The sequence below is a fragment of the Homo sapiens genome, chromosome 12 (assembly GCF_000001405.40).
Source record: "Homo sapiens chromosome 12, GRCh38.p14 Primary Assembly".
In the NCBI taxonomy this organism is placed as follows: domain Eukaryota; kingdom Metazoa; phylum Chordata; class Mammalia; order Primates; family Hominidae; genus Homo; species Homo sapiens.
The window spans coordinates 128,456,569-128,477,275 of NC_000012.12; the positions used below are offsets into that span (position 1 = coordinate 128,456,569).

The 20,707-nt window shown below is 45.2% G+C and overlaps 1 protein-coding gene across 3 annotated transcripts in view, besides 2 other annotated features; it reads left to right on the forward strand.

Annotated features, from left to right (window-relative positions):
* The window catches only part of TMEM132C (transmembrane protein 132C), a 440,742-nt gene that overhangs the window by 189,399 nt on the left and 230,636 nt on the right, over positions 1-20,707 (forward strand). The gene's annotated exons all lie outside the window — the stretch shown is intronic.
* Positions 1,667-2,619: an enhancer, noted in NCBI's record as "OCT4-NANOG-H3K27ac hESC enhancer chr12:128942780-128943732 (GRCh37/hg19 assembly coordinates)". NCBI's record gives its function as "activates a minimal SCP1, AML or CMV promoter by ChIP-STARR-seq in naive and primed H9 embryonic stem cells {active_cell/tissue: H9 hESC(naive and primed)}" and the evidence as "EXISTENCE:reporter gene assay evidence [ECO:0000049][PMID:30033119]".
* Positions 2,620-3,572: an enhancer, noted in NCBI's record as "OCT4-NANOG-H3K27ac hESC enhancer chr12:128943733-128944685 (GRCh37/hg19 assembly coordinates)". NCBI's record gives its function as "activates a minimal SCP1, AML or CMV promoter by ChIP-STARR-seq in naive and primed H9 embryonic stem cells {active_cell/tissue: H9 hESC(naive and primed)}" and the evidence as "EXISTENCE:reporter gene assay evidence [ECO:0000049][PMID:30033119]".

Here is a 20,707-nt window from a genome sequence, read left to right on the forward strand (position 1 = left end):
GCTAATTTTTTGTATTTTTGGTAGAGATGGGATTTCACAATGTTACCCAGGCCAGTTGCAAACTCTTGTGCTCAAGTGATTCGCCCACATTGGCCTTTCAAAGTGCAGGGATTACAGGCGTGAGCCACCACTCCTAGCCTCTGATTACTTTTGACAAAAGCATACACCCATGTAACCCATACCTCTAAGAAGACATAGAACAATTTCATTATTCCAGTAAATCCCTCCATGTTCCCTGCCAGATAACCCCATCTGCTCCATGCCGAAGCAACCACTGTCCTGATTTCTATCACCATGGTTGAGTTTTGCCTCTTCTTTAACTTCATATAAGTGGATTCTTACATAATACACTATTTTCGCTGGCTTCCTTAGCTCCGCGTGTTTTGGGGATTCATCCATGTTGTTGCATGTGTGAGTATATCATTCCTCTATTGCAGAGCTCACTTCCTTATATGAATACACTATGATTTGCTTGTCATTCATCTGGTGGCCTCCAGTTTGGGCTATTATGCATAAAGCTGCTATGAATATTTATATGCATGTTTTTGTGTGGATACATGTTTTCATATATTGTGGAGTGAAATTGCTGCTCATAGGGTAAGCAAGCATATTTTTCACTTTTTTTAGGAACTGCCAGTTTTTCAAAGTGGTTTTACACCACTTGGCACTACCACCAACATTATTTGAGAGTTTTGATTGCAGCATTCTGTCATCAAAATTTGAGATTCTCCATCTGTAAAAAAAAAAAAAAAAACAGCGCTTTGGGAGGCCGAGGCAGGCAGCTCATGAGGTCAGGAGATCAAGACCATCCTGGCTAACACGGTGAAACCCCTTCTCTACTAAAAAAAATACAAAAAATTAGCCAGGTGTGGTGGCGGGCACCTGTAGTCCCAGCTACTCGGGAGGCTGAGGCAGGAGAATGGCATGAACCTGGGAGACGGAGCTTGCAGTGAGCCGAGATCGCGCCACTGCACTCCAGCCTGGGTGACAGAGCGAGACTCCATCTCAAAAAAAAAAAAAAAAATTAGGCAGTCTAGTGATGCCTAATGGTATATATTTTATTTAGCTCTCAAAGCCAACCTATGAAGTAGGCACTAGTGCTATGCAGAGTTTACTGAGGTTAATGCTGGGCACTGAGAGGTTACAGGTCAAGGTCATACAGCCAAACTTCAAAGGTCCAAGAGAAATGGGCCAAGTTTAAGAAAATGAGGAATAGTGGGATGGAGATAAGCATTTTCTGCCTACCTCTAATTTTCATATTCAACTGATGAGAGAATCCAGCCATTGAGAGCCCTGGATCATGCAGTTAGTAAGGATCTAAGTTCAACGAATGTGGACCAGAGTCCCTGTTTTGCACTGCCGGCCACATGACAGTGGGAGTTGTCAAATCTTTCAGTTTCTCCTAAGAAGCCAGAAATCCATATATTTAAAATACAGTATGTCAATTTTAGTTCAACAATTTGTTTTTATCTGCTGAATAAGCCAGACAAAGCCTAGCAGTGAACCCCATTTTTAAAAATATCTGTCGTACACAATAGGGAGATATTACAGTTAGTAGATTGATTATATATCATAATTCATTTTCTGTATCATTATATATAATTAGAATATCTCATATTTATATTTTAGTATTATAATTATATAATTATAATATATCATGGAGTGAGTATTATAATATAATATTTAGTATTATAATTATATAATTATAATATTTAGTATTGTAATTATATAATTATACTAAAATTATATATTACATATTTATTATAGTATATATTATAAACACTGCTATAACAGAAACCCAAAATAATAATGATTTGGACAAAATACAATTTAGTTTCTTAATTTTATTTCCTTCTTTCTTGCTCACATACCATCCAGCTGTGAGCAGTTTAGGGTTGTGTAATCACTTCGTGGTGCTGGGGACGCAGGATTCCTCTCATTCTTGTTCCATTGTCCCCGGAACATGGTCCCCTTTGCCCGGTGACTACCACCAGGCACCTTTCCCATCATGGGGAAGGAGGAGAAATGGGACAGGAAGGGCTCATCCCTTCACATAAAAGCCGTGGTGCACCAGTAAGCATTTAACAACCAGATCTCTGCTGGGGGGCAGGGAGATTGATTGGTTGCTTTTGCCAGTTTCCATGGTGTACATATTCCCACCATCGCCAGTTTCAAGCTACCAACATGAGGTAAACTGAATGTGGAGTCTGGAAGGGATACTCACAGTACAGGCTGGGCTTTGCTGCTCTGGCACGTCACTGTTTTAAGAGCTCCATCTACACATTGCCTCTTTCACTTCCACCAACATCTCCAGAATTAGACACCTGTCTGCAAGGGAGGCTGGGGAATGTAGTTTTTCGTTGACATTAAGTCCAGTGGCCAGGTGGCCCAGCTACAAACTGAAGGTTCTTTTCTTATAGAAGAAATTGAGGGTAAATCATTGAGACCACTGGAAGTCTGCAGTACAAGAGGTTTTAGACAGGGGAGTATCAGGTTATTACAACTGGATTTAGAAGGTCCCACTGCAGCCTTGGAGGAGGCATGGAAGGGGAAGACTGGACCAGCAGCCCCTTTGGAGAGAATGGGGAATAGTGGAGGCGGAGGTAAGCATTCTCTGCATACCTCTAATTTCCATATTTGACTGATGAGAGAATGTAGCCATTGAGAGCCCTGGATCACACAGTTAGTAAGGATCTAAGTTCCATGAATGTGAACCAGAGTCTTTGTTCTGCACTGCTGGCCATATGAAAGCCTCCCTCAGGAGCCTGGTACCCATGCTGAGAGATCAGGAGGGCCTGAATGAGCTCACTGTGGCTGGGGTAGAGAAGAGGACCTGGGTTTGAGAGACCAAGGAAGTGGGCTCTTTAGGATTTGGTTGTTGGTTGATAGAAGTTGGTGGTAGGATGTCAGGGTTAAAAGGAGTTAGAAGATAGAGCATGACTCGGAAGTCTCTCTCCTGGATGATAGTGGTGTCATTGGTGAAAATAAGAAAAACAGACAGAAGACCAAGTTTTGAGGGGAAGGTAATGAATGCTCTCTTGGGCCAGGCGCGGTGGCTCACACCTGTAATCCCAGCACTTTAGGAGACCAAGGCGGGTGGATCACGAGGAATTCAAGACCAGCCTGGCCGAGATGGTGAAACCCTGTCTCTACTAAAAATACAAAAATTAGCCAGGTGTGGTGGTGAGTGCCTGTAATCCCAGCTATTCGGGAGGCTGAGGCAGGGGAATCACTTGAACCAGGGAGTGGGAGGTTGCAGTGAGCCGAGATTGTGCCACTGCACTCCAGCCCGGGCAACAGAGCAAGACTCTGTCTCAAAAAAAAAAAAAAAAAAAAAAGAATGCTCTCTTAAATTTATTTGAATTTGAGATTCTCTTGGCACCTCCGAGTGGTATCCAGCAAGTGTTGAAATAAGGCCTGAAGGTCCAGGGAGGGCAGAGTCTGGAGTCTCAGATTGAAAAGTAATAAAGGTTCATATTAGTAGTTAACAAATTTGGAGATTACTAGTCAGAATTTCCCAGTGAATTCTGCAGAAGAGAACTCGTTGGGAGATAGAATAACTAGCTAGAGTGATTTCACTTATAAGTGACAGAAACCCAAATCAAGCTGGCTTAGGGGAGAAGAAGGGGGAAATAGTGGGTCATCTAAATAAAAACTGTGGTAGAACAAACTTCAGGCATGGCTGGATCAAGGCCAATGACAGTGTCACCAGGACTGCCTTTAGACCCATCTCTCACCCCTGCTTTCTTCTGTGATGGCTTCATTCTCAGGCAGCCTCTCCTCACAGGGTAGCCAGGTGGCCACCAGCAAATCCAGACCTATGTCTTTTCAACTTAGTAAGTCCACTTGTTCAAGCCAAAGTCTTGGAGCTGCTTCCTAGTGGCTTCTATTAGTCCATGCAGCTATTCCTGAACCAATTCCTGTGAATGACTTTACCTGGCTTTAGTATCGTTCTCACCCCGAGAGCTACAGTATGGGTCAGTCCCAGTGCCCCAGGCGGTGCCACTCATTGCCACCCCACTGAGTAGCAATGGCTACCCAAAAGAAAATAAAAGTTGTCACCAGAAAAAGGGAGAATGGGCGTTGGACAAGCCAAAGCTACAGATGTTGGTCAATGAATGCAAGTTTGCAGGGAGGGGCAGCTGCTTTCCATGTGGCCATATTTGATCAGGGAGATTCATGCACCCTCCTGTCCTAACCCGCAGGACTCCACTCTTGGCATACTCAATCATCAGTAGGTTTGGGATTTTGCCATTGGAGCTTTTCCCAGCTCAGCAGCTGGGTGGGGGGAATGCTTGATAGAGACCTTACCAAGAAAAAAAGGCAGCAAACCAGAGGCAGCCCCCAGCTACCCAGGGCTCAGGCCTGCCACGGTGACTTAACTTGAAAATGAGTAGCTAGGGAGAGGATGCGTGTTCATCAAAAGCCTGGGACTTCTTTGTGTTGTTTTTTAAAAGAAAGTTAATGAAGGCATGTTTGCAAAAAAAGAAAAAAATAACAATAACAGAATTCTATTGCTGACCTTGTCAGTGACCCAAATTTAAAAGCCATTTATCTTCTCTGTGTGTAACTTGCACCTCAAAGTTTGCTCCTGGCAGCTATTAATTCAAAGAGGGGAAGAAGAGGCAGTTGGCATTTTAAAATCTACATGTTCTGATTCTCTTGCATCAGGTGCCGCAGGAGTCCAGACAAGGGACATAGAACTGTGCACTGCAGGGAGCGTCATGAACAAGGAGCATTGTGGGTGGGGGAGGCCTATGGACAATTGATAAGTGCACACAGACCCCATCCGAAGACATTTTCAAATACTTTGAGTTATTTTGAAACTCTGTGTAGATCACCACCCCACCCCATCCCACCCACAAAAACAAACAAACAAAACAAACAAAAAGAAAACAGTCTGAGAAAGGGACTTGGCCTGAAGACTGTCAGTGGGAGACCCTTAAAAGGGGAAGCAAAGTTTTTATTGTTCCTCATTTCCGGGAGCTCCTTCCTCATGGCCCAGGACTGCTGTGCACAGTTGTACAGGTTGTTCACTGCTCCAGCAGGCTCCATTGAGGGAATGATGGGTACTGATGTCCAGCCCACCTCATTGTTCACCAGGTCAGGATCTCATAGGCCTGTGCCCACCCAGGGAAATTTTTTGAGTAATTCATTCAAAGTTGATGTGTGTGATAGTGGTGATAGTGGTGTGTCACTCTCTATCAAAGCCCCCAGCAAAGGCCTCTACCTTTATTTTGCTTCAATTCCCAAGCCCCACCTTCCAGAACTCCATTCTCCAGGGGTGATGGAGTTCCTAACCTAGGACCTGCTCATAAAAAGGCTTCTCAGGCAGAGATTTCAGTGCTATTTGGATGACACCTCATTCTAACCGCAAAAGCTTGTGTTGCAAACACAATCGGATTGGAGCGGGTGCCTCATTTTCTGTGTGTTCAGCAGAAGGTGGGTGCCTTCTTCACTGTGAAATCCAGCCTCCTTGGAGCTCTGGGAATGAATACAGCTTCTGCTTTGCATCTGTTATTTTATTTGTTTGTTTTGTTTTGTTTTGTTTTTTTGAGACAGAGTCTCGCTCTGTCACCCAGGCTGGAGTGCAGTGGTGCAATCTCAGCTCACTGCAACCTCCACCTCCTGGGTTCAAGCAATTTTCCCTGCGTCAGCCTCCTAGTAGCTAGGATTGCAAGTGCCAGCCACCACACCCTACTCATTTTTGTATTTTTTAGTAGAGACGGGATTTCTCCACGTTGGTCAAGCTGGTCTCAAACTCCCAACCTCAGGGGATCCGCTGGCCTCGGCCTCCCAAAGTAAAGGTGGAATTCCAACAGGGAGACAGTGGAGGTATCAGCGGACCTGAGGATGTAGTCAGACTTTTTATTTCCCTGTTTGAGCATTCCTGGTTTCCCTTGCGTTCTTGTGTATTTATTTCTGGTTTTCCCAAAATTGTTTGTAATGTGAAGTCGAAAACCTGAATATTTTTATAGAAACAAAACTTCACCACGGTGAAGACATGAAAGGATCTGGCATTCTTCGGAGCTCTTCCTCCTGAAGGAAAGCCACACTCTAACTCTTTGATCTCTTCTTGTTTTATTGTTGTATTTTACTTCATTTAGAAAAGTATAAAGTCCCTAAATCAGTAGTAGGGGGAGCAAAAATGTCCACAGGCCCATATATGCGTAAGCCACAAAAAGGAATGCTTGTAACCTTGATGAAGGTCTGTAATACCTATTTTGGAGGAAGAGAAAGAAGATGAGAGCCCCAGTGTGGGTGCAACAGTTAGGAATGCTTTTGGCTGCAAGTACCAGAACTCCCCAATAACAGCAGTTTAAACAAATAGTGGGTTGTTTTTCTCATAGATCAATACACCTGGAGGTATGTAGCCCCAGCTGAACAGCCCAGCCACATCCAGGCTTTGATTCTTGTATCTGCCATGCACTTGGTGTCTGGCTCGTGGCTGCAGACGGCTGCTACAGACTCCAAGCTGACATTCAAGCAGGAGGAGAGGAGACATCCTGGCCAAAGCTATGACTTTTATTCTTATCAGAAAAGCAAAAGCTAGCCTGGAGGTCTTCCGGCTACCTCCAATTATATATCACCAACTGCAATTATATCACATGGCCTCATCTTTATATATAACCTACCGCAATTATATCAGATGGCCTCATCTGCTTGCTGTAGAAGCTGGGGAAGTTGGTACTTTCTTCTTTCAGCATCTATGATGGCAGGGATGGTGGTTTACCAAAAACTCATGCTTCTCTTTTCTTTTTCTTTTCGAGACGGAGTTTCTCTCTTGTTGCCCGGGCTGGAGTGCAATGACGCGATCTCAGCTCACTGCTACCTCCGCCTCCTGGGTTCAAGTGATTCTCCTGCCTCAGCCTCCCGAGTAGCTGGGATTACAGGCATGCACCACCTCGCCTGGCTAATTTTTGTATTTTTAGTAGAGATGGGGTTTCGTCATGTTGGCCAGGCTGGTCTGGAACTCCTGACCTCAGGTGATCCACCCACCTCGGCCTCCCAAAGTGCTGAGATTACAGGTGTGACCCACCTCGCCCAGCCCATGCTTCCGTTTTCTTATTGAAGCATGTCCCTGGAAGGGCCTGCCTGGCTAGAGCCTGTGTTCCCCGTTCCTCTCCCATCTCGGTGTGCCATGAGATACACACCAGCTCTTGTCCATCTAATGTGAGCAGAGCTGGCCTGTGTTGCTTCTGTGCCCCATTTGTGTGCCTTCCCTACTCCCTCCCTCCTTATCTGTGGCTAGATACAGAGGACACCGAGGTCCTAGGGAGTGGGCAAACTCCAAGATGTGAGTTGAATGGCCATGTGCAGGAGACCAAGCCTCCAGCCACGGGCCCACCTTGGATTCATGTGTGAGTCATAAATAAACCTGTATCATGTTAAACCACCAACACTCTGGCATTTACTTTTTCCAGCAGCTGGCCCTCCCCTAAATAACACAGGTATTTCAACAGACAAGGGAGGAGACCAGAAACCCTGTTTAGTGATTGGCCAACAGTGTCCCCAAGCTAAGTTCTGTCTAGACACCTAATCTCCTGATGTCACGTCAGGCAACAGTTCTCCACTTCCATTGTGAGTCATTAGTTTCTTTGATCTTTCCTCCACCATCAGCCTTGGAGAATACCGTTCATGAGCAAAGGGAGCCCATGCATTAAATGGTGCTTCCAAGGGTAACACTCTTCAGGACTGATACACCAGCACGGCAAGGACTGCCTTGGACCTCCCTTTCTCCCCTGCATGCACTACAGTTGGCCCTCCCCACATCCTAGTTGGGGGTGGATGATATTCAGCATGAGCCAGGTCCCCAGACCTTAGCTGATGGACCAGGAGCAGGTGATCTCACCCAGACTGAGCTGACCCTGTCTCCTTTTAGGGCATTTGAAAATAGAATGTAGCATGGTGGCTCACACCTGTAATCCCAGGACTTTGGGAGGCTGAAGCAGGAGGATCACTTGAGGCCAGGAGGATGGTTTGAGACCAGCCTGGGAAAAATACTGAGACCCCCATCTCTATAAAAAATGAATAAATAAGTAAATAATTAGCTAGACATGGTAGCACATGTCTGTGGTCTGAGCTACTCAGGAGGCTGAGATGGGAGGACCTCTCAAGTCCAGGAGTTTGGGACTTCAGTGAGTTATGATTATGCTACTGCACTCTAGCCTGGGCAGCAGAGAAAGACCCTGTCAGAAAGAAAGAAAGAAAGAAAGAGAGAAAGAGAGGGAGGGAGGGAGGAAGGAAGAAAATAAATAGAATACAAAATATAACACAGATGAGAAGAGCAGACCTGCAAGGCTGTGTGAGCATTAGGGCCTCAGGTACCACTTAGGGACAACGGTGAGGGGTGTACATGCCAGTGAGTGAATGGAGATGAGCGAGAGTAGGACAGAAGCAGACACAGAGAGGGGAGAGAAGGAGGAGAGTAAATCCGGGAGGAATTTCCCGTTTTCCCAAGACTTGGGTGTGCTTTCTGCAATCACGTCCCTTGAGACGTCCTCCTATGCTTGTTGGTCTATAAGCAGTGTCAGAGTTCTGTGTCTTCTGTCCAAATGTCTCCTTCTTTAAACCCCTGGTGAGGAGACACCCACATAGATAAGCTGTTCATCATCCTGATCATTCTTCATTTCTTTTTTTTTTTTTTTGAGACAGTGTCTTGCTCTGTCATCTAGGTTGGAGTGCCATGGTGCCATCTCAGCTCACTACAAGCTCCGCCTCCCAGATTCAAGCCATTCTCCTGACTCAGCCTCCCGAGTAGCTGGGATTAAAGACGCCTGCCACCACGCCCAGCTAATTTTTTGTATTTTTAGTAGAGACGGGGTTTTTGCCATGTTGGCCAGGTTGGTTTCAAACTCCTCACCTCAGGTGATCCACCTGCCTCGACCTCCCAAAGTGCTATGGTTACAGGCATGAGCCACCACACCCGGCCTCTTCATTTCTTCATTCACATGAGAGATACTCATGAGTACACTCGACATGCCTAGCACTGTCCACAGCCAGGCGTCCACCCAGGTGACACCAGGACAATCCATTCTCCTAGGCACGTGGTGAGGGCCTGCCTGGGATTTCCTGTCTCATCCTACCCTGAACCCAGGCCTGCCCTCACGAGCACTGGAGTGAGACCCTGCTTGGGTGTGGTGTGAGGGCCCCAAGGGCCAAAAGAACACCCTCAAGGGTGGCAGTAAGCATGCCACGCGTTAAGGTGCAGAACCTGACTACATGCATGCTAGGCTCTCAGCTGTGGTTCTGCGGCACCGGGTGCTCAGTTAGCCGGTTGCTGATTGCCTTGCAGCAGGGCTGTGATGAGGGTGTGTCTGTGGGAAGGAGGATGTGCACAGGTGAGGAGAGGCCCGGGGATAAGGGAAGGCGAGTGAAGCACTGGGAGTGAGGTTGAAGGGGCCTCCAAAAGACTCCAGAGTAAAGATAACATTGCATGAAAATAAGGTATTTTTGAAAAATCAAAATTAATGCCAAAAAAACCCATATAGAACCATATATCTAAGTTTTAAATAAAGACAGAACAGGGTGGGGAGGTGGAAGTCAAAGTGGGAGAAGGGCCCAGAAATGAGACAGCGATGCCGCTGCTGCGATGGAGAACTAGCCAGCATGTGTGAAGGGGAGAGCACAGGAAAGAAGGAGCCAGCACAACCTCCCTCTGGGAGCTGCAGACCCAGGGATCCAAGTTGTCCTTGAAGAGAACCGCTGGAGAGTCAGCAAAATCCTAGAACAGAGGGAAGAAATACTGTAGCCATTGGCTCAGTTTGACCTGCAAGCATGCTTTGTTTGGCTTATATAAAATTTACATTTTACCAATTTAATGGCCAAGATTTAAACTTTTCATTTGAAAATTCAACTTTCTGACTACCTATGGCAACTGAGAATAATGGATTGCTTAGAGCCAAATGGAGCCCAATCGTTCCACCAGGTCATGACTTTTTTGCACCTGGAGGGCTACACTTTTTTCTTCTTTGGAGACAGGGTCTCACTGTGTCTTCTGCAGCTCAGGCTGGAGTGTAGTGGTGCAATCCCAGCTCACTGCAGCCTCAACCTTCAGGGCTTAAGCCATACTCCATCCTCTGCCTCCTGAGTACGTGCCACCATGCCTGGCTAATTTTTGTTTTTTGTTTGTAGAGATAGGGTTTCACCATGTTGCCCAGGCTGGTCTTGAACTCTTGGGGTCAGGTGATCCACCCGCCTCGGCCTCCCAAAGTGCTGGGATTACAGGCATGAGCCACCGCACCTGGCCAGGTACACTTCTTTATATGACCTGTCCTAGTCCCCTTGGACATTCAGGTTTGGAGCCCTGACACTTGGCTACATAGGGGAAGAGATAAAGCTGCAAATGTGCTGAGGGGAGGTATTTCTTCATCCTGGTACCTGATAAAGACTTTGCCGAGCTTTTGAGCCAGCACTTGTGGAAGGAGTAGGATTTCAACATGATAAGGAAGAGGGGCTTTCAGGTGAAGGTCAGAAGATGTGAGGCAGCTGGAAGGTCAGGCAGGGACAGTGGAATTGTTGAAACCTCCCATGGAATTGGGAACTCATGGCGTTCATAGTGCAAGCATCAGACATGTTGCTAATTTGATAGAAAATCCTCCTTCTGAACTATTTATATGTGCCATCATCTCAGACTCCGGGTATGTTGGGGTGGTTTCTTCACTGCTTTGTTTAGGAAATTAATAGAGATGCTATTGGCACCCAGGAACAATGGGAGAATGGCAGCTGCCAGAGATCTTCTTCTCCATCCCAGCATGAAATTCATATTCTTAATACAAATGCCAAATTGTCATGTCTTGTAGAGGGTGAGCATTATGGAGTTTTTGATGATAATGGCTGGGCTGTCTTGGGCTGTTGCTTAAATGGCTGAATTAAATTGGTTTATATTTTAATGAGATGACTAATCATAAGCAATTGTTATGGATGATTGTGAGCCAACTGAGCTGTTTCGTTGTGTTTTCTTTTCATTCCATTTGTTGTTGTTAGTCCATGAATTGGAACAATTCTGCTCCAAGTTGGCCTCTCCATCTCGCAGTAGCAGGGGTCAGGTCCAGATTTTGGATCTTAACACAGCAGTGATAAAGGAAGCAGGGAAAGGTTTCTGCAAGAATGGAGCATGGGGGAGGGAGCAGGATGAAGAGCCCAGACTGGAGCTCTAATACTCAGCTTCCGATCAGCTGCATCTGGAGCAAGCTGCCCTCTGTTCTTCTCAGCATTCTCGTTCCCCATCTGCAAAACAGGCACAAGCATCTGTCCATCCATCTATTCATTCATTCATTCAACAGACATTTGATGTGTGCCCATCATGTGTTACACCAGGATGCTCCTCGCCCTCATGAGGTTTATAGTCCGGTGGAGGAGAGGGGCATCAATCAGACGGTCATACAGGTATGTGAACCTATGATAAACATGTGCTCTGTGATGCAGTGTGCAAGGACATCACTTGGAGGGGATGGGGAATCCGGCACCATAGGGAGTAGAGGGCAGAGAGGTATCTGGTGATGACGCAATGTCTGACTCAGTGCTGAAGCTCAGCAGGTGTTGGCCTCAGTGAATGCATGTTGAGCAGAGGGAAGGCGTTAACTGTGCAGGGCTAGCGGTCCAGAGGGAACACCAACCCCGGGGTGACAAGGATGATGGGAGTTAGAAGCGTAGCCTGAAGTCCTAGTGAGGGGTGTGCAGGGAGGGCAGGGGGCTTAGACTTTCTCCTGAAAGCACAAGTAAGCTATGGGGAAGGGACCAAATTTACTTTTTTTTTTTCTTTTTGAGACAGAGTTTTGCTCTTGTCACCCAGGCTGGAGTGCAATGGCACGATCTCGGCTCACCACAACCTCTGCCTTCCGGGTTCAAGCGATTCTTCTGCCTCAGCCTCCCAAGTAGCTGGGATTATAGGCATGCACCACCACGCCAGGCTAATTTTGTATTTTTTTAGTAGAGACCGGGTTTCTCCATGTTGGTCAGGTTGGTCTGGAACTCCCGACCTCAGGTGATCCGCCCGCCTCGGCCTCCCAAAGTGCTGGGATTACAGGCATGAGCCACTGCGCCTGACCAAATTTACTCTAAACAAACAAACAAACAAACAAAAAATCTCTGACTGCCAAGGTGGAGAATAACATGAGAGGCTTTGGCAAAGTCAGAATTTCCCAAAATGTCTCATGTGTACCACTAATGTTAGAAGGTACATTAACTTTTTTATTTTTATAATAATGTATTTAGTTGAATATGTATTAGAAAAAAAGAAAACACTATCACATCAAATGAGTCATGGTACAGATATTACTACTTAAGACAACTTTTAAAAAAATTAGTTTAAAATATTAAATAACAGTATATGCGTCATGGTTCTAACAAAAATCATGAATCAGACTCAATGTGGGAAACATTGGACTTTCTTTCTTCTCCATTTCCTTCTAGTTCTCTAACTCTCTTGTTTCTTAGGTGTTAGAAACACAAAGAATTCAACACATCCCTCATAGCAACCATACCGCTTGGTTGAAGTTACATCAGACTTGTAGGGGAAGCAAAAGGGATCATTTACGATGTTTTCGTGACATGAGGAAATGGAAACATTTCTCTCTGATTTCCTAATTCTGTCTTGGCAGCCTAAGCCATTTCCAGAAGAGATCTGGTGTTTCAGATAATAAAGATAGCATTTAAAGCAGGGTTTCTCATTTTTTGATCATGCACAGAGACACATTTTACTTTATGACTCAGATCATATATATAAGCGTGAGTGCACACAAGTAATATCATAAAGCATGCTTTTTTTTTTTTTTTTGACAGGATCTCACTCTGTTGCCCAGGCTGGAGTGCAGTGGCTCACTGCAGCCTCGACCTCCTGGGTTCAGGTGATCCTCCCACCTCAGCCTCCCAAGTAGCTGGGACTACAGGCATGCACCACCACACCCAGCTAACTTTCTGTATGTTTGGTAGAGACAGGGTTTTGCTATGTTGCCCAGGCTGATCTCAAACTCCTGAACTCGAGAGATACACCCAGCTTTACAGCCATGAGCCACCATGCCTGGCCACAACATGCATTTTTGTATGCTTGTATGCTTTGTGTGTGTGTGTTTGTGTGTGTGTGTGTGTGTGTGTATATATATATATGTGCATTTATGTGTGTGTATGTATATATATGCATTTATGTGTGTGTGTATATATATATGCATTTATGTGTGTGTATATATATACACACATGCATTTATGTGTATATAAATGTGTATATGCATTTATGTGTGTATATATATACACACGTGCATTTATATACATAAATGTACCTGTGTGTATATACACACACCCACATATAAATGCATATGTATATACACACACATAAATGCACACATATTATATAAATACATACACATATGTGTGTACATTTATATCTGAAATGCAGTTTCTGAAAACAATATTTGCTTTTGCTTTATGTTACAAACTGATGCTTCTCTGTTCTCCTTCATGACTTACAAAAGACTTCATGACACCCACTAATCTGCTTCCAAATACCTTATGACCTCTATTTGAACACCACTGATTTGAAGTTTCCTGTTCCAAGTGGACCAGCTTCTGAAAAGCCGGAGTGGAGCGTGGATGGCAGGACCTGGTGGCCCTCATTTCATTTTTGCGGGGTGATAAGAACTGGAAGGGTCAACTGCTGAGGCAGAGAAAGTGGCTTGTCGACTTACCATCCTGTCTTGCTTATGATGGACGATTTCCAACCAGTGAACTCTGACAGCAAAGAGGCATTTGTCGCGTGTCCTCTGAATTTCCTGTTATTCCTAGACCAGTTTTCAGTGTGGCTGAGTTGACTTCCCTTTGGTTCTGTCGCTCAGGCAGTGGCAGAAGAATCTTTTCATCCTTGCTAATCACCTGCTTTTCTGTGGTCTCCTCTGCTACCTCTCGGTCTTGGTAGGAGCCAATTTTCCAACCATTGCTAATTTGGGAGAAAAATATGCAGGACAGGCCAGTGGAGGAGAGGATGTAAGGAAATAATCCAGTTCATAAAACCAGCATGGGTCAATCACATACACACTAAAGAGCCAGTCAAATCCCATTGATACATGAACTACACGCAGCTGCATGTATGGGGAATAACTGGATTCCGTTCAGTCAAATTTACTATGCAAGAGGAATGTGTTCAAGTTTTGGTGGGCTGTTACATCAGGTATCTGTACACTTTTTCTTAGTATAAAAAGCAAAATAGTAAATATTTCCATCTTTGCAAGCCAGGTGGCCTTTCTTGCAGCTACTCAACTCTGTCTTAGACAATACATTCAAAGTGAATGTGCTGTGTGCCAATAAAACTTTATTTACACACATAATCGGCAGGCTGCTTTTGGCCCATGCATTATAATCTGCCTACCCCTGCCCTGAACCATGCATGTTTTCTGTACTTTCACTCTTCTTTCATAGATCATGTTGCAAGAAATCTTTGAATCAGGGTTTCTCAACCTTGGCACTACTGGTATTTTGAATCAAATGACTCTTTGTGGTGAGGTGCTCTCCTGTGTATTGTAGGATGTTTACCAGCATCTCTGGTCTCTGTCCACTAAATGCCAGAAGCATCCCCGCTTTGATCTGTGACAACCAGATGTCTCCAGATACTCCAGAAGTATCCCTGCTTCGATCTGTGACAACCAGATGTCTCCAGGCAGTGCCATATTCCCCTCCAGGTGGAGTTGGGGGAAAATCGCCCTCAGTGGACAACTTATATTTTAAATTCTCGCCATTGTTTTCCTTCCTGATGTATTTGTGTGTTTGGTCTCTTTGACAGAGATCTTAAGGCATTAATTTAGGGAGGTGGAAGCACAGATGGCCCCTAGTTGCTGCTCAAAGAATCAATTATGGCCCACGACCTCCATGACCTGAATCTTGATCTTCCCTCTTCTGAACCAAATGGAAGGAGGTTGTCAAGCTCTGCCCCTGGCCCTAGGCATAGCTCTGAAAAAAGACAGGAATATATAAGATAGGAGTTTAAGAAGTTATCTTTGCTAAAGGGGATTAAAATGGGAGGCAGCCTGTAACCGAGAAGCAGCATTGCATAGCATCATGCTTGGGTGCACAGATCCTGGGGTGAGACTGCTTGGGTGTAATACAGACTTTAATACTTCCTGGCTGTGTGACCTTGGGCAAATCACTTGACTTCTCTGTGCTTCAGTCTTCTCATCTAGAAAATGTGAATAATGTTAATTCCTACCCGCTAGGGCTATGTGGAAGATTGAATGAATTGCTATCCCAAGTATGTAGATGGTGGCTGCCCTGAAGTCAGCACTCTATAAGTGCTTGTTGAATAACATAAATAAAATAAAAGCTAACCAAAAAAGGATATTCTGAAGTCAAATTTCCAGCAATGTTCAAGTAGGAAATTTGGAAATATTTAGTTAGGTATGAAGAGCAGTCTTCTCGGTTCCCTAAAAATCAAACCGCACTGGCTGGCTGTAGTCTGGGGGTAGTTTAGGGTTACGCAGATGAAATAACCACTCCTCATACTCATGGTGCTTCCCCAAGAGACCTGCAGGTAAGTCCTGCAGGAGGCACCTGCACGTACCCAGTGCCTCTTGACACAGATGGTTCAGGAGTGGGTTGGGGGCCTCTGTGCTCCTGCAAACTTCTGGGCTACATAATAACTCGGGTTTCTATATTGATGTTTGACACCATGAGATAATACAAGATTAAAGACACTCTCTGCAGCCCCATGCGTCTTTTCACCTGTCTGGCCAATTATAAACAAGCAGTATAATCTCCCCACCTCTCTGTGTTCCAGAGAACCTTCCTGTCTTGTGAGATGCTAGCAGTTCTGGGTCAGAGACCCTCTTCCATGCAAGATTGGGAAATATTAGGTTAGTCAACGGGAAATAGAGTTATTTATGGCAGAACTCCAGGGAGCCTTAGTAGGCCATTATGCACTGGGAGCCTGAGGGGGCTCCAGGTCCAATCTGTTCCCTACCTTCCAGGGAACATGTGTGCACGGAGTGGTTGGGAAAGACCACCATGGTGACAGAAGCTTGGATGATATCAAGGCAGACCTTTCTATATCATGTTTGCTGTGCTAATGATTGCTGTGAATTCCAAGGGGAGATAATATCCCTGGTGGGATCAGGAAGCTCTATGGGCTGACACCTGGGTTGGGGACTCTGTGGCAAAGGACCTCAAACATCTGGGGGTCAGCTTCGGCCTGGATTTATTTGAGAGCAGGTGTGCAGGCTCCTTTGCCTGGGAACAGTGTTTTTCATCCCATTTGCTGTTAGTTATAAAATGGTCCCTGATGATGTAGCCATTCTTGAGGTTCACATGACCAGGAGCCCACATATATATGAAGTCTGGCAGTGCATTAATTTCCTGGAGCTACTGTAACAAATTATCCAAAATGTAGTGGCTTAAAACAATAGAAATGTTGATTTGGGGCTTCTAGCCTCCAGGACTGTGAGACACTACAGGGTTGGTTCCTTCTGGAGGATCTAGGGAAGGATCTGCTGCCTTTTCTGGCATTTTCTGGCTTTAGGTATCCCTTGGCTTGTGGCAGCATCACTCCAGACTCTGTCTTCATCTTCACTCCAGCCTCCATCTTCATCTTCACTCCAGCCACTATCTTCATCTTCACTCCAGCCTCCATCTTCATCTTCACTCCAGCCACTATCTTCATCTTCACTCCAGCCTCCATCTTTGTCCTTACTCCAGCGTCTATCTTCATCCTCACTCCAACCCCTATCTTCATCTTCTCTCCAGCCTCCGTCTTCATCTTCACTCCAGCCTCTATCTTCATCTTCAGTCCAGCCTCCTTCTTCATCTTCACTCCAGCCTCTATCTTCATCTTCACTCGAGCCTCCATCTTCATTTTCACTCCAGCCTCCATCTTCATCTTTGCTCCAGCCTCTATCTTTATCCTCACGCCAGCCTCTGTCTTCATCTGCACTCCAGCTTCTATCTTCATCCTTACTCCAGCCTCCATCTTCATCTTCACTCCACCATCCATCTTCACTCCAGCATCCATCTTCATCCTTACTCCAGCCTCTATTTTCATCTTCACTCCAGCCTCTATCTTCATCTTCACTCCAGCCTCTGTCTTCATCTTCACTCCAGCCTCCATTTTAATTCTCACTCCAGCTTCTATCTTCATCCTCACTCCAGCCTCCATCTTCATCTTCACTCCAGCCTCCGTTTTCGTCTTCACTTCAGCCTCTGTCTTCATCTTCACGTGTCTTCTGCTCCCAGCCTCTTCTTTGTGTCTCCAATAAGGACAGTTGTTACTGGATTAAGGACCCACCTAGAAAGTCTGTGATGATCTCATCACAGGATGCCTAACTTACTTACATCTGCAAAAATCATTTCTCCAAAGAAGGTCACATTGACAGTTTCCAGGATGTTGAAGTATCTTTTGGGGATCACCAGTCACCCACTGCAGGCCATGTTATCTTGAAAATGCCTGATGCTCTTGATAACAAACTACCTTATTGTCATCTCGGGTCCCTGTTACACTAATTCCTTGCATGGATGAATCATCCTGTTGTAAAATTTTAGAACCATGGTTCTTAAACTCGAGGAAACATCCACATCTTCTGAAGGGCTTAATCTGCCCAGGGCTGAAACACAGATTGCTGAGTCCCACCCCAGAGCATCTGGTTTGGCAAGTCTAGGGTGAGACCTGGGAATCTGCATTTTTAAGAAATCCCTGGTGATGCAGATGCTGCTGGTCCAGAGAGCACTTTGAGAACCTCTGGTCTGGCAGGTTTTCTTCAGGAGGGGAGTCACAAGCATGCTGGGCCCACCATTTGCAGGAAGTCTATGTTCCTGGATAGGCAGTACCCCAGCTCCCTCAATTGTTGCTCAAAGACCTCACTGCCTTTAGCACACACTGTGAAACTCCAGAAAAACATCACACCTAGGGGTGTCATTGGTCCATAGAAACCATTTGCCAAATGCCAGATGGGGCAGCTTCACTAGAGACACAGTTTATCTTGCAGCAAAGCAGCAGAACAACATGTTTTACATCCAGACACATTTCCATAAGTAAGATTGCAGCAACAACAGAGGTAATGTTTTGATATTTGTCATAGTAATTAGAATGCCCGATGAGAACGTTCATTGAAGTGGAGAAAATTCTGACATCCCGGGAGAAGAAATTACAATATAGCCCGTTTGTGCCACTCCATGCAGTCCCTTATTTTTGTTATGAATTCTGGAATTATGAATATGTCTCTCCTTTGAGCAGTGGTCTGTTGAAAACCTCACAGTGGCAAGCTGCACAAATTGGTACCACATAGTATGTCTCAGAAACAACCTGCCCCTTTCTTAAAAACAGCAGCTTGGAGTAAAGCCTCAGGAATCATCTGTGTCTCGGTTTTTCTGTATGTGACCAGTTATCAGACATTCCCGACAGTGCCCCCTTTGGAATACTTCTTTGCCCGGGACAATGACTTACCTAACGACTTCTCCCCGCAGAGCACAGAATCCAGTGCCGAGGCTACATGTGGAAGGGAACGAGGCAGGGACGTGAGGATGTGGCAACAATTCTGCAGAAGGGCTGTGGGTGGGGGCACAGCAGGGCTTCAACTCCAGGGACCCCATTTCCAGAATTCCATGCAAGCACCACTAGCAGGTGGGGAGGTCAGGTTACAGCCAGAAGGTAAGACCCCGCCCCCAACTCGAAATGTCATTTCTTAGGCATTTAGGACCTGCGATTTCTTTTTTCTCCTATAAAATGACTCAGGCTTACACATAAAAGGTCACATATTGTACTTATTTCTATTCCATTTATACATAATTTCATTTATATAAAATGTCCCGAATAATCAAGTCTTCAGAACCAGAGAACAGATTAGCAGTTGCAGGTTTTGGTAGGGGAAGAAATGGGGAGGGACCGCTAACTGGCATGCGGTTGCACTTGGGGTGATAAAAAATGTTCTGGAATTAAATAATAGAGATGGTTGCACAAATTTGTGAATATATGAATTCACACTAATATGCTTTCAGATGGTGAATTACATGGTATGTGAATTATATCTCAATAAAAAAAAATTTAGGTTTAAGTTTATACTGAAGACCACTTTATTCAGGAAAGGACAACAAGTAGAGGAAAAAGGGAAATCAGGCAGCCAAGTCCCATCTCTTTTGTCCTTGAATTTCTTTTCAGTTCTTTCAAATATGTATCGCAATATTTGCTGGTCCCTTCATCTGTGCAGAGTGAACATAGCGGCAACACTGGCGTCAGGGTTCTGTGTGTAACTTCACAGAAGCCTCCCAGCAGTCCTGTACGAGGTAGACCCTGGGCCACCCCTTTTACAGATGAGGAAGCTGACGCCCTGCCTGCCCAGGACCCCACAGCTAGCAAGTGACCGGGTTGGGATTGACCAAGGGAGGTAGGTGGTTCACTGTCCCCCATCCGCTTCCACCAGTGGCTCAGGAACCTACAGAAATGTCTGCCCTACCAGTGACTTTTGCTCTGACTTTGTCCAGACATTAAATCAAGCCATCTTCTGGGCCCTAGGACGTGAGCTTGCAACTGAGTTCCTGCTTTCCTCCAGGTAGGCAGCAAAGGGCAAACTTCCCTTCAGAGTCAGTCTCTGATCATCCCTGCATTCTCCTCTGAGTTACCTGTGACTGGCAGGGCACCACCAAAAAAGGCTGTCCATTGGATTAATTCGCTTGGAATGAAAACAGCAATGTCTGATGCCTGTGTCCACAAGATAGGGATGCAGCAAGCTCCTGGGAGTCGGAATCCTTCCTGGCAACCTGAGGAGACGGTTGCAGCGTGCACATGGCAGTACAGAGAGAAAGGCTGGGGAGACATCGTCACATTTCAAAACCTGTGCAATGCAGAATAAAGCAAGGCCACAGAACGAAGCTTAATGACTCCGGGAGGTTGTAATGGGAGAGAAAGGGTGAAGAAAAGAACATTTCTCACGTGGCTTGCAGCTGCCTCCAGCCTGGAAGTGGAGCATTTCCTGTCTACATCATAAAGTCATCTAGAAAAAAGCCTCCTGTCTGATCTGATATTGATGGGGACTGGGAAATGCATTTAGTGTTAGAAGAAAAAGAAAACACAGAATTTGCTAAAATCTCTACTGCATTTTAACTATTTAGATCTTAGATCATGGAGCCTAGTGTTTCCCAGCCTCAGCTGCACAGTACAAGCAGTCATTTAGGGAGTTTTGCAGAAAATACTTGGGCCTCACCCCCTGGCCAGTAAATGTTTGATCTGTGGCAGTTGGGCCCAAGTGACGGAACTTCAGATAAATGTATTGCACAGCTAGATTTGAGCAGCATTTGATTTTATATTTGCCTACTATATTCCCTAAGCAAGGAATTTTATTATACTTCCCACGTTCTGTAGGAAAGTCTCAATTATCCACATAAATACTCATAAACCAAATCTGTACATAAAATAAAACCTCACTTTCACTTGGACTTAAAATATATCACAATTATTTTTTCCAGAAAAATTAGCTTTCTGCTTGTGGTTTGCTTAAGTTTAAAGTGACTTGACATATTAGTTAGCTACTGCTGTGTAACAGACCACCCCCAAAACTCAGTGGCCTAAAACAACATTCATTTATGATTTCTCTCTATTGTGAAGGCTGCCTGGGGGAGGGAACTGGTTGGCCGATTTGGAGTGGGCTGGTCTGGGAATTCTGCTAAATCTTGCTGCGAATCTTGGCTGGACTCACTCACACGTCAGTTGGGTAGATGCACTTTGCACTGTAAATATCTCAAC